This window comes from Homo sapiens, chromosome 15 (assembly GCF_000001405.40).
Source record: "Homo sapiens chromosome 15, GRCh38.p14 Primary Assembly".
NCBI classification, from domain to species: domain Eukaryota; kingdom Metazoa; phylum Chordata; class Mammalia; order Primates; family Hominidae; genus Homo; species Homo sapiens.
The window spans coordinates 44470042-44485556 of NC_000015.10; the positions used below are offsets into that span (position 1 = coordinate 44470042).

The window sequence follows — 15515 nt, forward strand, 5'->3', positions numbered from 1 at the left end:
GAGCCGAGATCACGCCACTGCACTCCAGCCTGGGCGACAGAGCGAGACTCTGTCTCAAAAAAAAAAAAAAAAAAAAAAAATGGCGACTGCATAGTCAGCTATCTTATTTTTTCATGTACTTGTTTTATTGGTTATTAAGAGAGGGATGTTAAAATCACTTATTTTTGTGCATTTGTCTACTTCATTATCTGTCAATATTTGCTTCATGTATGTTGAAGCTTCATGTATTTATAAGCGTATGACTTGTTCTTGTTAATATTATGATGTATCTCATTATCTCAAGTGATATTATTTATTTTGAAGTTTATTTTAATATTGATATAGCCATACAGTTTTCTTACTTACTATTTGCATGATATATGTTTTTCCAGCCTTTATAAAACCTGTGTGTATATATTTACATTGGCTTTTTTTTTTTATTTTAAAGACAGAGTCTCGCTCTGTCACCCTGGCTGGAGTGCAGCTGCGCAATCTTGGCTCACTGCAACCTCCACCTCCTGGATTCGAGCAGTTCTCCTACCTCAGCCTCCCGAGTAAGTGGGATTACAGGCACCTGCCACCACTCCCAGCTAATTTTTATATTTTTAGTAGAGACAGTGTTTTACCATGTTGGCCAGCCTGGTCTTGAACTCCTGACCACAGATGATACACCAACCTTGGCCTCCTAAAGTGCTGGGATTACAGGTGTGAGCCACCACGCCTGGCCTACATTGGCATATTTTGTCTATTTATATTTAATGTAATTATTAATATGTTTGAGTTTAAAGTCTTCTATCTTACTATGTATTCTGGATTTGTCCCATCTTTTGTTTCTCTTTTCCTTTCCTGTCATTTGAGTGAACTAGCTATTTTTTAGAATTTTATTTATCCTCCTATATCCTATATTGACTTCTCAAAAAAAAACCTTAAACACAATAAAATACACCTGTTCAAAGTGTTTGTTTTCTTGAATTCTGACAGATTTATGCACATGACCAAAAAGTATCCTTATTTTATACCCAACATCACCTGAGACAACCACTGATCTTTCTGTCATTATAGAGTTTCATAGGATTATAATCAGTTTATCTTGCTTCCTTCACACACACAACATACATTTTTTGGTTTCTTCCGCGTTACCACATGTATCTGTAGTTGATTCCTTCCCCTCCCCTCCCCGAGTAGTATTCCTGTGTGTGAGTCTACCACAATTTGTCTATTTAAGTTGTTTCTGTTTTTTGGCTATTATAAATAAAGTTGTTAGGAATATTTGGATAAATAAGATTGATATTGCTGGATCATAAGATGTATGCTTAACTTCTTTGTAGCAGCTTTATTGAGATATAATTTATATACCAGAAAATTCACCCATTTTTTTGAAGTGTAGAAGCTTTTATTTACTTATTATTTTTTGATATAAAAAGCTGTACTTAATGTATACAGCTCTATGAGTTTGGGGATAAATATATTCCTGTGAAACCATCACCATCATCAAGGCCATCAACGTATCTGTCACCTCCCAGAGTTTACCCTGCCCCTTTATTATGATCTACTATCTTAGAAAACTTTAAATATGTAATATAGTATAGTTAAGTATAGGCACAGCACTATGTTGTATAGTAGTATCGTTCATTCATTCATTTAAAGTATAAATTCAGTAGCTTTTAGTACATGCACAGAATTGTGCAACCATTGCCTCAACTTTAGAATATTTTCATCACCCTCAAAAGAAACCTCTAGCTCCTAAATTTCCCCTTCCTCTCTAGCCCTAAGCAGTCACTAATCTGCTTCCTGTCTCTATGGATTTTGCTATATTTTGGACATTTCATGTAAATGAAACCATAGTCTATTATGTCTGGCTTCTTTCACTTAGCATGTTTTCAAAGTGCATCCATGGTGCATTTGTTCTCAGGATCTCCTGGGGCTGTGTCCTGGGAATTGAATAAAAATTAAAAAAAAAAAAAGAGAAAAAACAAAGTACATCCATGTTGTGGCATATATTATATCACTATTTCCTTTTTATTGCCAAGTAATATTCTGTTGTATGGATATACCACATTTTGATTATCCATTTATCAATTAATGAACATTTGGATTGTTTTCATATTTTGACCATATGAAGAATGCTGTGAACATTCATGTATACATTTTTGTATGGACATCTGTTTTCCGTTGTCTTGGGTAAGAGCTTGAATTGCTGGGTTATATGATAACTTTGTGTTTAGCTTTTTAAGGAACTGCCAGACTGTTTTCCAAAGTGGTTGCATCATTTTACAGTTCCACTAGCAAAATATGAGGATTCCAGTTGTCTTGAGGACAATCAACACTTGTAATTGTCTGTCTTTTTTATTATAGCCATCCTAGTGAGTGTGAAGCAGTATGTCGTAGTTTTGATTTGCATTTCCCTAATGACTGATGGTATGGAGCATCTTTTTTATGTGCTTCTTGGCCATTTACATTTTCTTTAGAGAAATGTCTGGTATTTTAATTGTATTATTTTTATTATTGAATTGTAAGAGGTGGTTTTTTTTTTTTTGGCATGATCTCGGTTCATTGCAACCTCTGCTTCCTGGGCTCAAGTGATCCTTCACCTCAGCCTCCTGAGGAGCTGAGACTACAGGCATGTGCCACTATGCCCAGCTAATTTCTTTCCCCACTTTTTGGAGACAGAGTCTCACTTTGTCACCCGCTGGAGTGCAGTGGCGCAGTCTCCATTCACTGCAACTTCTACCTCCTGTGTTCAAGCAATTCCCCTGCCTCAGCCCCCTGAGTACCTGGGATTACAGGCACATGCCACCAAGTCCAACTAATTTTTTTTATTTTTAATGGAGACAGGGTTTCACCGGCCCAGGCCGGTTTTGAATTCCTGACCTCAGGTGACCCGCCTGCCTTGGCCTTCCAAAGTGCTGGGATTACAGGCTTGAGTCACTGCGCCAGGCCTAATTTTTGTATTTTTTGTAGAGACAGGGTTTCACTATGTTGCCCAGGCTGATATCAAACTCCTGGGCTTAAGAGATCATCCTACCTTGGCCTCCCAAAGTGCTGGGATTACAGGTGTGAGCCACCACACCCAGCCATGAGTTCTTGATATAATCTAGATACAAGTCCCTTTTCAGAGATATGCAAATATTTTCTTCTATGCTGTGGACCCTTTCTGAAACACAGAACTTTTACATTTTGATGAAGTCCACTTTGTTTATTTTTTATTTTGTTGCTTGTGCTTTTGGTATATCCAAGAAACTATTGGCAAAATCAGGGTGACAAAGATTTATCCCTAGATTTTCTTTTTTTTTGAGATGTAATCTCGCTCTATCGCCCAGGCTGGAGTGCAGTGGCACGATCTCAGCTCACTGCAAGCTCCACCTCCCGGGTTCACGCCATTCTCCTGCCTCAGCCTCCCTAGTAGCTGGGACTACAGGCGCCCGCCACCACGCCCAGCTAATATTTTGTATTTTTAGTAGAGACGGGGTTTCACCGTGTTAGTCAGAATGGTCTCGATCTCCTGACCTTGTGATCCACCCGCCCCGGCCTCCCAAAGTGCTGGGATTACAGGCGTGAACCACTGCGCCCAGCCGTATCCCTAGATTTTCTTATATGAGTTTTATACTTTTAGCTCTTTGATACATTTGAGTTAATTTTTATAGATGGTGTGAGGTAAGAAGTCATCTTCATTATTTTGCATGTTCATTTTCATTAAGTCCCAGCACCATTTGTTGAAGACACTTTTTAACTTTTGAGAAACTGCCCAGCTATTTCACCGTCTAACATTCCATTTAACAATTTCAAGCAGTTTCCCTTGCTCACATTCTTACCAGTATTTGATATTGTAAGTCTTTTTAACTTTAGTCTTTCTACAGGGGTAGAGTATCTTATTGTTTTTAACCTGCATTGTTTTAACTTCCATTTCCGAGGCTCAGGTGATCCTCACGCCTCAGCTAGCTGGGACTACAGGTTTGCATCACCACACCGGGCTAATTTTTATATTTTATAAGAGATGGGGTTTCGCCGTGTTGCCCAGGCTGGTCTCCAACTTCTGGGCTCAGGCAGTCTACCTGCCTCGCCTTCCCAAAGTGCAAGGATTACAGGAGTGAGCCACCACCCACAGAATGTTAAGACTCATATATAAAGGCCGAGATTTAACAGTTTTACAGCTTCATCAAGAACTTTCTTGGGGCCAGGTGCGGTAGCTCACGCCTGTAACGCCTGTAATCCTAGCACTTTAGGAGGCCGAGAAGGGCAGAGGGTGGATTGCCTGAGCTCAGGAGTTCAAGACCAGCTTGGGCAACATGGTGAAACCCTATCTCTAATAAAGTACAAGAAATTAGCTGGGCATGGTGGTACACGCCTGTAGTCCCTGCTACTCAGGAGGCTGAGGCGGGAGATCGCTTGAACCCAGGAGGCGGAGGTTGCAGTGAGTGGAGATCGCACCACTGCACTCCAGCTTGGGTAACAAAGTGAGACTCTGTCGTCTTTGTTTTAAAAAAGAAGAAAGAACTTTCTTGAGAGGAACTGGCTCTCCCAACTTGCTAAACGTGGCTATAAAGAATGCAATGGGCCAGGCTTGGTGGCTCACGCCTGTAATTCCAGCACTTTGGGAGGCTGAGGCAGGCGGATCACCTGAGGTCAAGAGTTCGAGACCAGCCTGGCCAACATAGTGAAACTCCATCTCTACTAAAAATATAAAAATTAACCGGGCATGGTGACACATGCCTGTCATCCCAGCTACTCGGGAGGCTGAGGCAGGAGAATTGCTTGAACCCGGGAGGCAGAGGTTGCAGTGAGCCAAAATCACTCCATTGCACTCTAGCCTGGGTGACTCCATCTCAAAAGAAAAGAATACAATGACTGTTGGGTTTCAGTGCGTTGATTTGTCTTAAGGTACCAGTTACTATATACACCGTTGCTCTTGCATAGCTAGCACAAATGTTAACACAAGTTGTTCTAGAATGGACTGAAAGACAATAAATAAATAATAAATAAATAAATGGATTCACCACTTTTGTTTGTTACCATGCATTCACAGTAACAAAACTCTTTGCTAATTAGTTGGTGCTGGTATCAAATAAATACATGTAGGCAAAATACCAAGTCCGGCCACATTAATAAGGCACAGAAGTACAATTCTCTACATACTAGATATTACTTCTTTTTTTATGTTTGCAGATAAATCTTTCATTCAGTGATTTAACTTAGCATTGGAAAGTGGGAGGGCATGCTTCTTTTACTGACTTTTTATCTAGCAGACTTTCAGCACTATCTACTATGCAAAGATTTATCTCTCTGATATTGTTTACCCCTTTTCAACCAATGCAGTGTGATAACTTTAAGATTCTTCAGGCCGGGCGTGGTGGCTCACGCCTATAATCCCAGCACTCTGGGAGGCCGAGGCAGGTGGATCACCTGAGGTCAGGAGTTCGAAACCAGTCTGGCCAATATGGTGAAACCCCATCTCTACTAAAAATACAAAAATTAGCTGGGTGTGGTGGTGGGCACCTGTAATCCCAGCTACTCGGGAGGCTGAGGCAGGAGAATCGCTTGAACGTGGGAGGTGGAGTTTGCAGTGAGCTGAGATCATGCCACTGCACTCCAGCCTGGGCAACAGAACAAGACTTCGTCTCAAAAAAAAAAAAAAAAGATTCTTCAGACGCTTTTTCATTTTTAGTTTGAAAAACTAACCACTTTTTGCTTTTAAAGAACTCATTATGTATATATTTAAAGTATTAAATTCCTTTTTAAAAAACTCATTCTCAAATGACAGTATACTAAATTGTCACCATTTAAATATGTCTCATCTATTTAAGTATGTTCTATTACATAAGATGTAGTAAGACAACCTTATGCAGCCAAAGGGAAGATATCTTTATCATGCTTTCATTTGCTATTGACAATTGCATCAAGAGTCTCTGGAATAGATTTACTGCTTTGTGAGTCAGAGAATCCTGATATGTCAGTTTCTTATTTTTCAGCAGTGCACCAATGGATTGAAATCACAGCTCTTCTTACCTCCCTGTTGTAACCTAATGATTCATTATTAAGTATTAAAAAGTTACATTTTTTTTTATTTTGAGATGGAGTCTTCGCTCTGTCGCCCAGGCTGGAGTGCAGTGGCACGATCTCGGCTCACTGCCAGCTCCACCTCCCGGGTTCATGCCATTCTCCTGCCTCATCCTCCTGAATAGCTGGGACTACAGGCGCCCACCACCACGCTGGCTAATTTTTTGTATTTTTTAGTAGAGATGGGGTTTCACTGTTAGCCAGGATGGTCTCGATCTCCTGACCTCATGATCCGCCCGCCCTGGCCTCCCAAAGTGCTGGGATTACAGTCGCGAGCCACTGCACCCGGCCACAAATTTTATTTTAAAATATTACTAAATTCTGAAATAACTTTTATGTAAAACTTAAAATTTAGAAGTAAATGTATTTTAAATGAATATATTATTGCAAAGCAAAAGCAGAAGAGTACTCTTGCTGTGTTTTCACATAAATATATATATACAGTCAGGTGCCAGGTAATGATGTTTAGGTCAGCATGGACCACCTTATGGTCCAATAAGGTTATAATACCATATTTTTACTGTACTTTTTTCTGTGTTTAGGTACATGAGTACTTAACATTTTGTTATAATTGCCTACAGTATTCAGTATAGTAGTTTGCCGAACAGGTGGGTTGCCTAGAGCGATAGGTGTGTGGTAGATAATATCATCTTGGTTTGTGTAAATACGCTGTATGATTGTACAGTGATGGAATTGCTAAAGATGCTTTTCTCAAAACATATCCCAGTTGTTATGTGATGCATTACTTTATATAGAAAAATTTTGAAATTGCAAAATAATAATTTACTAAATCATAATGAAGTTACAGAGATTATAGCAGGTACAACTAGATAATTAGTAAGAGCACAGTAGAAGTGCACAACACAAGGTTGGGCACCATGGCTTATGCCTTTAATCCTAGGACTTTGGAAGGCTGTGGTGAAAGGATCGCTTGAGCCCAGGATTTCGAGACCAACCTGTGCAACATAGTAAGACCTCGTCTTTTCAAAAACTTTTAAAAACGAATTAGTCAAGCGTGGTGCTGCACACCTGTAGTCCCAGCTACTTCAGAGGCTGAGGTGGGAGGATCACTTGATCCCAGGAGACAAAGGCTGCAGTGAGGTGAGATTGTGCCACTGCACTCTAGCCTGAGTGACAGAGCAAGACCCTGTCTTTAATAAAAAGGGGAGAAAAGGGGGCCAGGCTCAGTGGCTTATACCTGTGATCCCAGCACTTTGGGAGGCCAAGGTGGGTGGATCCCTTGATCTCAGGAGTTCCAGACCAGCCTGGGCAACATAGCAAAACCCCGTCTCTACAAAAAAATTTTGTTTTCAATTTGCTGGACTTGGTGTGTGCCTGTAGTCCCAGCTACTTGGGAGGCTGAGGTGGAAGGATGACTTGAGCCTGGGAGGTCAGGGCTGCAGTTAGCTAAGATCGTGCCATTGCACTCCAGCCTTGGTGACAGGGCAAGACCCTGTCTTTTTAAAAAAAAAAAAGTACTTGCCAGGCACGGTGGCTCATGCCTGTAATCCCACCACTTTGGGAGGCCAAGGTGGGCAGATCACCTGAGGTCGGGAGTTCAAGACCAGCCTGACCAACATGGAGAAACCCTGTCTCTACTAAAAATACAAAAAATTAGCTGGGCATGGTGGCGCATGCCTGTAATCCCAGCTACTTGGGAGGCTGAGGCAGGAGAATCACTTGAACCTGGGAGGCAGAGGTTGTGGTGAGCCAAGATCGTGCCATTGCACTCCATCCTGGGCAGCAAGAGCGAAACGTAGTCTCAAAAAAAAAAAAATACTTAACACAAAGATATTTTATATGTATTCACATATTTTCCATTATGTTATTCACCCAACGCATTTAGGATTTTATCTGGTACTATTTATCTGATGCCTGCAGAACTTTATTTAGTATGTGTTTCTCACCAATTTTCTTAGTTTTATGTCTACATTTTTTGAGCACATACTCATTACATGCTATCCTTTATTCAAATTTGGCTTAGTTCTACAGGTTCTCCATCTGTTTGATGTGCTTGATGTTTATGATTAGTCTTAGCATCATTGTCTGAAGCTCATTTTTGTAGTGAATTCCTTGGAAAAGATTGGTGGGGCTGAGCATGGTGGCTGATGCCTGTTATCCCAGCACTTTTGGGAGGCTGAGGCAGGCATATCACCTGAGGTCAGGAGCTTGAGACCAGCCTGGCCAATATGGTGAAACCGTCTCTACTAAAAAAGAAAATACAAAAATTTCCTCAGCGTGGTGGCAGGCACCTGTAATCCCAGCTTCTCGGGAGGCTGAGGCAGGAAAATCGCTTGAACCCGGGAGGTGGAGGTTGCAGTGAGCTGAGATTGCACCACTGCACTTCAGCCTGGGCAAGAAGAGCAAGACTCTGTCTCAAAAAAAAAAAAAAAAAAAAAAAAAAAAAAAGACTCATGAGAAGCATATTCTGAGCTTTTGCATGTTGATAACAGTGCCCTCTATGCTTGAAAATCAGTTTTGCTGGATATAAAATCCTTAACTCACATTTTTTCTTGGTTATTTTAAATGTTATTCTATTTTCTTCCAACATGAAAAGCGTTTCTGTCAAACGTTTGATAATATAATTTTTTTTAAGTTGCTAAATTAGAACATGTCTTGGATTGACCTGGGGCTTGGTGGCTCAGGCCTGTAATCCCAGCACTTTGGGAGGCCAAGGCAGGCAGATCACTTCAGGTCAGGAGTTCAAGACCAGCCTGACCAACATGGTGAAACCCTGTCTCTACTAATAATACAAAAATTAGCTGGGCGTGGTGGCAGGCACCTGTAATCCCAGCTACTTGGGAGGCTGAGGCAGAATTGCTTGAACCCAGGAGGCGGAGCCACTGACTGCACTTTAGCCTGGGTGACGGCTGTCTAGCCTGTCTCAAAAACAAATAAAAAATAATAAAACGTGTCTTGAATTGACATGCCACTCCTGGCTTTTACATTTTCTTCATTTGTTTTTATGTCTGTCTTCATTTCTTTAAAAAAAAACAAACAAACAAAAAAAAAAAAACAAGTTTTCTCCCTTGCCAGGTGTGCTGGCCATCAGCTATAGTCCTGGCTATTCAGGAGGTTGAAGCAGGAGGATTGCTTGAACCTGGGAATTTGAGACCAGTTTGGGCAACTTAGTGAAACCCTGGCTCTCAAAAGAACAAAATTGTTCATTTTACCCTCTTTCTTATAAGGTATAATCTTTTGTTTACTCTCTTGGGCCCCTTGTAGTATAGTCTTTATTTCTGAAATGATTTGTAAAAATTTTTGAATTTTTTTGTTCTGTTTCTTAGTTTCTGAGTTTTTCTTCCTCTGCTGTATGTCTCATATTTTCTTTCCTTTTTTTTTTTTTTTTTTTTTTGAGACAGGATCTTGCTCTGTTGCCCAGGTTGCAGTGGCATGGTCATGGCTCACTGCAGTCTCAAACTCCTGTGCTCAGGTGATCCTCTTGCCTCAGCCTCTTTGAGTTGCAGGGACTATAGGCACATGCCACCATGATTGGCTAATTTTTAAATTTTTGTGTAGAAATGGGATCTTGCTGTGTTGCCCAAGCTGATCTCAAACTCCTGGCCTCAAGTGAGGCTCCTGCCTCGACCTCCCAACGTGCTAGAATTACAGGCCTCCACACCAGCCTCATATTTTCTTATTTTGCCTGATTTTGAAATAGAAGATTATAATTTTTATCTTTTCCCTATGCATCTTTTTCTGACACGTGTTCTTTATCTATAGAGGTATTGTTCTGCTCCACGTGTGTTTCATTATAGTAGTTTTGTGTGGGATTTGATATCTATACTTTCTTGCTCATTTTTATGTGAAATTAGTTTTTCTGAATTTTCAGAAAGTTATGTAGTTCAGGGTATCTCTTTGAACAAATTTTGTTTTTATGTAGTGTTTTTAAATATTGGTGATGCTTTTTGAGTTTTGTCTTTTATTTCTACCATGTGTTTATTTGGAATTTCTCTGTCTTTTCTCTCTGTGCCTGCCCTACTCACATTTGATTCCACTCCCAATACTTCCTCCTAAGTATGGAAACTTGTTCTAGAAGGGCGCCATAGTTGGTCAGTTTCAAGAGTTCATAGGAGCAGACTGTTCCTGTCATTTCAATTCTAGCCATAGACCCCCTATGCTATTGGATTGGACAGCAACTCCCCAACTCCCCTCCCCCTTATTTCATTTGCTGTTCTCAAATTGGCCTGCCGTGGTTTCCAGTGACTACCTACCTGTTAGGTATTTGGGGCTTCTTTTCTCAGGTGTGCCACCTCACTTGTTGCTTATTTCTGTTTTCCTTTGCACTGGTATATATGGACATTTAGTTATTGTGCCTGTTGGTTTGTTCTCATCTGCTTGCATTTTTGAGTGTGGGGGATACCTTGTCTTCTGGTTTCGTTGTAAATGTTGCCCATGGGTTTTTCTTGCCTTTTCAGTTCTCTGTATTTACATGGGGATTCATATATTTAAGAACACCTTCCCATCATTTTCCCCTTAATTACCTATCTTAGAGACAACTTTGAAAAATACAAATTTTGCACTGAGGTGGAAGGATAGCTTGAGGCTAGGAGTTTGAGACCAGCCTGGGCAACATAGCGAGACCCTGTCTCTACAAAAAATAAAAACATTAACAGGGCGTGATGTTATGTGTCTGTATTCCTAGCTGCTTGGGAGGCTGAGGCAGGAAGAATGCTTGAGCTTACGAGTTTGAGGCTGTAGTGAGCCATGACTGTGCTACTACACTCCAGTATGGGCGACAGAGACCCTGCCTCCATGAAAAAAAGAAAAAAGAAAAATACAGATTTTAGAGAAGACATTGTAGGATTACTGTATTTAGTGAAACAGCTTATATAGTAATGTAGAAACTGTGTCTTTCCTAGTTCGTCTTCCTCTTCTAAAAAATCCTACCATGTTCAAAGTATACCCAAATTTTACAGTTGAATGTTCACAGAAGACTAGGATTGGGTGACAAATTGTCATTCAGAATTGGATCATCAGGCTGGGCACCATGGCTCATGCCTGTAATCCCAGCACTTTGGGAGGCTGAGGCAGGAGGATTGCTTGGGGCTGGGAGTTCAAGACCAGTCTGGACAACATAGCAAGACCCTGTCTCTACTGGGGGGAAATAAAAGGATTGGATCATTAGGCATTTCAATGAATTATTCTGAAGAGTATGATTTTACTGTCAATGACTGCAGAATTTTAGTCTTGACCTTAATAGCTTCCTCTTCCGTTTTTGTAACCTGAAGTATTTGAATGTGTTCTAAAGTGACCGCCTTATAGTCTGTTCTGCAACAATATGTGGTGCCCCTACAATAATATTATTTAGCTTACTCACTATTGGTAAACAGGGGAGTAGTATCAATAACATAGTAGGGGGGAGGGGTTTGTAGATGATTTTCTTCTAAACCAGACAACAAACTGAATAATTAGAGTTGAATTTGATATTCTCTTCATCAGGAAAGTAAAAAGCCTCCAGTTCAGCTGCTACATAGGCACAAGTCCTTTCACCTGTATTTTTATTTTTATTTTTTGAGATGGAGTTTCACTCTTGTTGCCTAGGCTGAAGTGCAATAGCATGATCTCAGCTCACCACAACCTCCACCTCCCGGGTTCAAGCGATTCTTCTGCCTCAGCCTCCCAAGTAGCTGGGATTACAGATATGTACCACCATGCCTGGCTAATTTTGTATTTTTAGTAGAGACAGAATTTCTCTATGTTGGTCAGGCTGGTCCCGAACTCCCAACCTCAGGTGATCCGCCTGCCTCGGCCTCCCAAAGTGCTGGGATTACAGGCTTCAGCCACAGCGCCCGGCCTATTTTTATTTTTAATTAAAACTGATAATCTGCAGCAGATATTCTCTCTCCAGAGAGGTGCACCCTGGTCTAGCAGGGACTCTTCACATGTGGCAGTTTGCATTTCCTTTTGTACCCAACTTAACAGCAGCCCTGCTGGCTTAAAGCTTCACTTTTCCCATAAGCCCGTTTCTACTTCATTGTTTTTAGTACCCTTTATTATCCCCTGAGGTAGCATTCCAGCCCTCTTAGCTGCCTTACCTGCGTAGGGATGTCCAAGTTATCTCTGGTGGTCCCAGTCGTTGTTGTTTTAGAGACAGGGTCTCACTTTGTTGCCCAGGCTGGGGTGCAGTGGTGCAATCATAGCTCCCTGCAGCCTTGAACTCCTGGGCTCCCACCTGAGTCTCCCAAGTAGCTGAGATTACAGGCATGTGTCACCAAGCCCAGCTCCAATCATTGTTTTTGTTAGTGCTATGGTTACAAAGTTACAGGGGCATGAACTAATCTGCCCCAACATACCTCTCTCCCCTTCTGGACCCATTTTTTCCATAAGTTTTGTTACTTTTATTGTTGCAGAATGCAAGGTTTTCATGAATGTATGTATGTATGTTATAGCAGCTGTACTAGGACATTTCAGGGGGAGGCTAGGACTTAATGTAGTTGAAACTGCTGTATTATTTCTGTTCTTCAAAGACTTTATAAAGAGAGCTCCTGTATTTTTTGATAATGAAGATTCCATGTTTGTGATAGGAGGCTCCCTGATCCTCATTTTAAAATACAGGAGAATAGTACATGGTCAGAATTGGAAGGATTTTATTGTGGATCACTGAGGCATTATTGTATGCTATTGTAATTTTCACCATTTACAATGCCAAGTTTTGTTTCAGAAATAATGCAGCAATATCCAACTTGTAGAAAATGTATGTTAGTGCATTTTATTAGTTGCTGTAGGGTAAAAACATTAAATACAAAAAAGTAGAGATGAGAATGTTGATTATATGTATCAATTATATATAATATGTAAATTTGAAGATCTAATCCTTACCAAAAGATTTCAGGTAGTCTCATTAAAACAGTAAGGAATTATGTAGGGCAGTATTATAGTAATACTAGAAAATCACTCATGTGGCTAGGTGCTGTGGCTCATGCCTGTAATCCCAGCACTTTGGGAGGCCGAGGCAGGCGAATCACGAGGTCAGGAGTTCGAGACCAGCCTGACCAATATGGTGATGCCCTGTCTCTACTAAGAATACAAAGATTAGCGGGGCGTGGTGGTGCGTGCCTGTAATCCCAGCTACTCGGGAGGCTCAGGCAGGAGAATCGCTTGAACCCAGGAGGCGGGCGGAGGTTGCTGTGAGGCATGATCGTGCCACTGCACTCTAGCCTGGGTGACAGAGTCAGACTCTGTCTCAAAAAAAAAAAAAAGAAAAAGAAAAAATCACTCATGTGCATGACTCTAGAAAAAATTTACAAATGAGGCTGGTCACAGTGGCTTACGCCTGTAATTCCAACCTCGTCTCTACTAAAAATACAAAAATTAGCTGGGCATGGTGGTGGGCGCCTGTAATCCCAGCTACTCGGGAGGCTGAGGCAGGAAAATCGCCTGAACTCAGGAGGTTGAGGTTGCAGTGAGCCAAGATCACACCACTGCACCCCAACCTGGGCAACAGAGGAAAAACTCTGTCTCAAAAAAAAAAAAATTTACAAATTAGAAAACTATATATATAAATAGTAAAACATAAATCATCCTAATGGCTGAAAGTATACTATTTTAGTCCATTAGTACTGCAAGAATAGTATAAACTGGTCATGGGGACTTGCCCCATATAAGGTAGCAAATAGAGAGCTTTGTTAAGGGGTAGACTCTATATTATTTATTCTGGTAATTGAATAATTGAGGTAGGCAGTGCGGGTGTGGCAGTGCCAGGCCCCACCTTTATCCCCACCCTCTATTTTTGGGCTATATGTGACTTGCCAGCACATTCAGTGGGGCTCCCTCTCCTACCCTGAGTTGCTTAAGGAAATTATCTCTGTTCTTAAGGACACTTCTAAAAATGAGGGAAAGCTTTTGAAGATTCAGAGCACATTCTATAATTCAATATTTTGATAGCATGGAAAACTTAATGGACCTTGGGGAAGGGATCTGAATTGTAGGGATGCTGTAATTGTATTTGTATATTGTAATTGCATTCATGTTCTTACAGCCCTGTCAAATTTTTTCTGTGTTGATATTACCTATAATTGCATTTTGTTTTTCCTGGATATGAAAAGCAGAGGAAAGTATATTATACCGTATTTTTTCATTTTAATATTGTAACCTGTAAGGCAGAATGATTGTGCTTAGTGTGTTTTTTTTTCTCTTATATCTTAAGGAAGAGAGAGAAAATCCTTCAAAACGGAGTAGAATTGAACGTGATATAGATAACAATTTGATCACGTCAACACCAAGAGCAGGAGAAAAACCTAACAAACAGATATCTCGAGTAAGACGGAAAAGTCAAGTAAATGGAGGTTTGTTAATATTTAGATACTGTTTTATTTAGGTGTAAGCAGAGATCTCACCTGACACATTTCTTATCTATTTTTAAAACTCTACTTTGAGGCCGGGTGCAGTGGCTCATGCCTGTAATCCTCACATTTTGGGAGGCCGAGGTCGGCGGATCATTTGAGGCCAGGAATTTGAGACCAGCCTGGCCAACGTGGCAAAACCCCGTCTCTATTAAAATCACACACAAAAAATTAGCCAGGCGTGGTGGCGCATGCCTGTAATCTCAGCTACTCAGGTGGCTGAAGGTTGAGAATCGCTGGAACCCGGGAGGCAGAGGTTGCAGTAAGCTGAGATTGTGCCACTACACTCCAGCCTGGGTGACAGAGTGAGACTCTGTCTCAAAAACAAAACAAAACTACTTTGAGTAATTTTTGCCTTAATTTTGTAATCTTTGTATTATTAGTAACATGAAGTGAAATAAAAATGTGCTAATTTGAATCTTACTTTGAATTAAAGTAAGTAAAGATAGAGTATATACCTTTATGCTATTTAGCATAAAAATGTATGTGGATCAACATTTTGAACATCTAAATAAACTCATTTCTTAAAGCAATAATAATTGTGACTTAATTTAATTGAAATATATACCAAATTTCTTCCTAGATTATTCTACTTAAGAGCTCAGAGGGGACTTGCATCACTTAGTCCAGTAGGTTTCAACTAGGGGTGATTTTTTCCTCCAAGGGACATTTGTCAATATCTAGAGACCTTTTTGGTTGTCACAACTTGTGGAGGGGTGGCTACTAGTGTCTACTAGGTGGATGTCAGAGATGTTAAACATCCTACAATACACAGGACAGCTCTTCAAAACAAAGAATTAGACTGAAATGTCAATACTGCCGCTGTTGATAAACTCTGTCAATACCTTGTTGCATAGCAGAGAAACTCCTCAAAGTCAAAAAGAAGGAGAATAGCATTAAGGAAAAGCAGAGACAGCTATAAAGAATAACACTTTAGAGCAACAGTCCCCAACCTCTTGGCAGCAAGGACCAGTTTTGTGGAAGACAGTTTTTCCACTGACAGTGATGGGAATGGTTTCAGGATGAAACTGTTCCATCTCAGATCATCAGACATTAGTTAGATTCTCATAAGGATCGCACAACCTAGATCCCTTGCATGTAAAGTTCACAGTAGGGTTCGTGTTCCTAAAAGAATCT

The 15515-nt window shown here is 40.6% G+C and overlaps 1 protein-coding gene across 14 annotated transcripts in view; it reads left to right on the forward strand.

Annotated features, from left to right (window-relative positions):
• The window catches only part of CTDSPL2 (CTD small phosphatase like 2), a 101410-nt gene that overhangs the window by 42413 nt on the left and 43482 nt on the right, over nt 1-15515 (forward strand). For all 14 annotated transcript variants that reach the window (XR_007064454.1, XR_007064456.1, XR_007064453.1 and 11 more), the window contains exon 3: nt 14183-14321. Coding sequence is in view for 9 of the 14 variants with exons in the window: in XM_005254441.3 (XP_005254498.1) it covers nt 14183-14321 (139 nt within the window). In the remaining 5 variants the exon portion in view is untranslated. The remainder of the gene's footprint in view (nt 1-14182; nt 14322-15515) is intronic.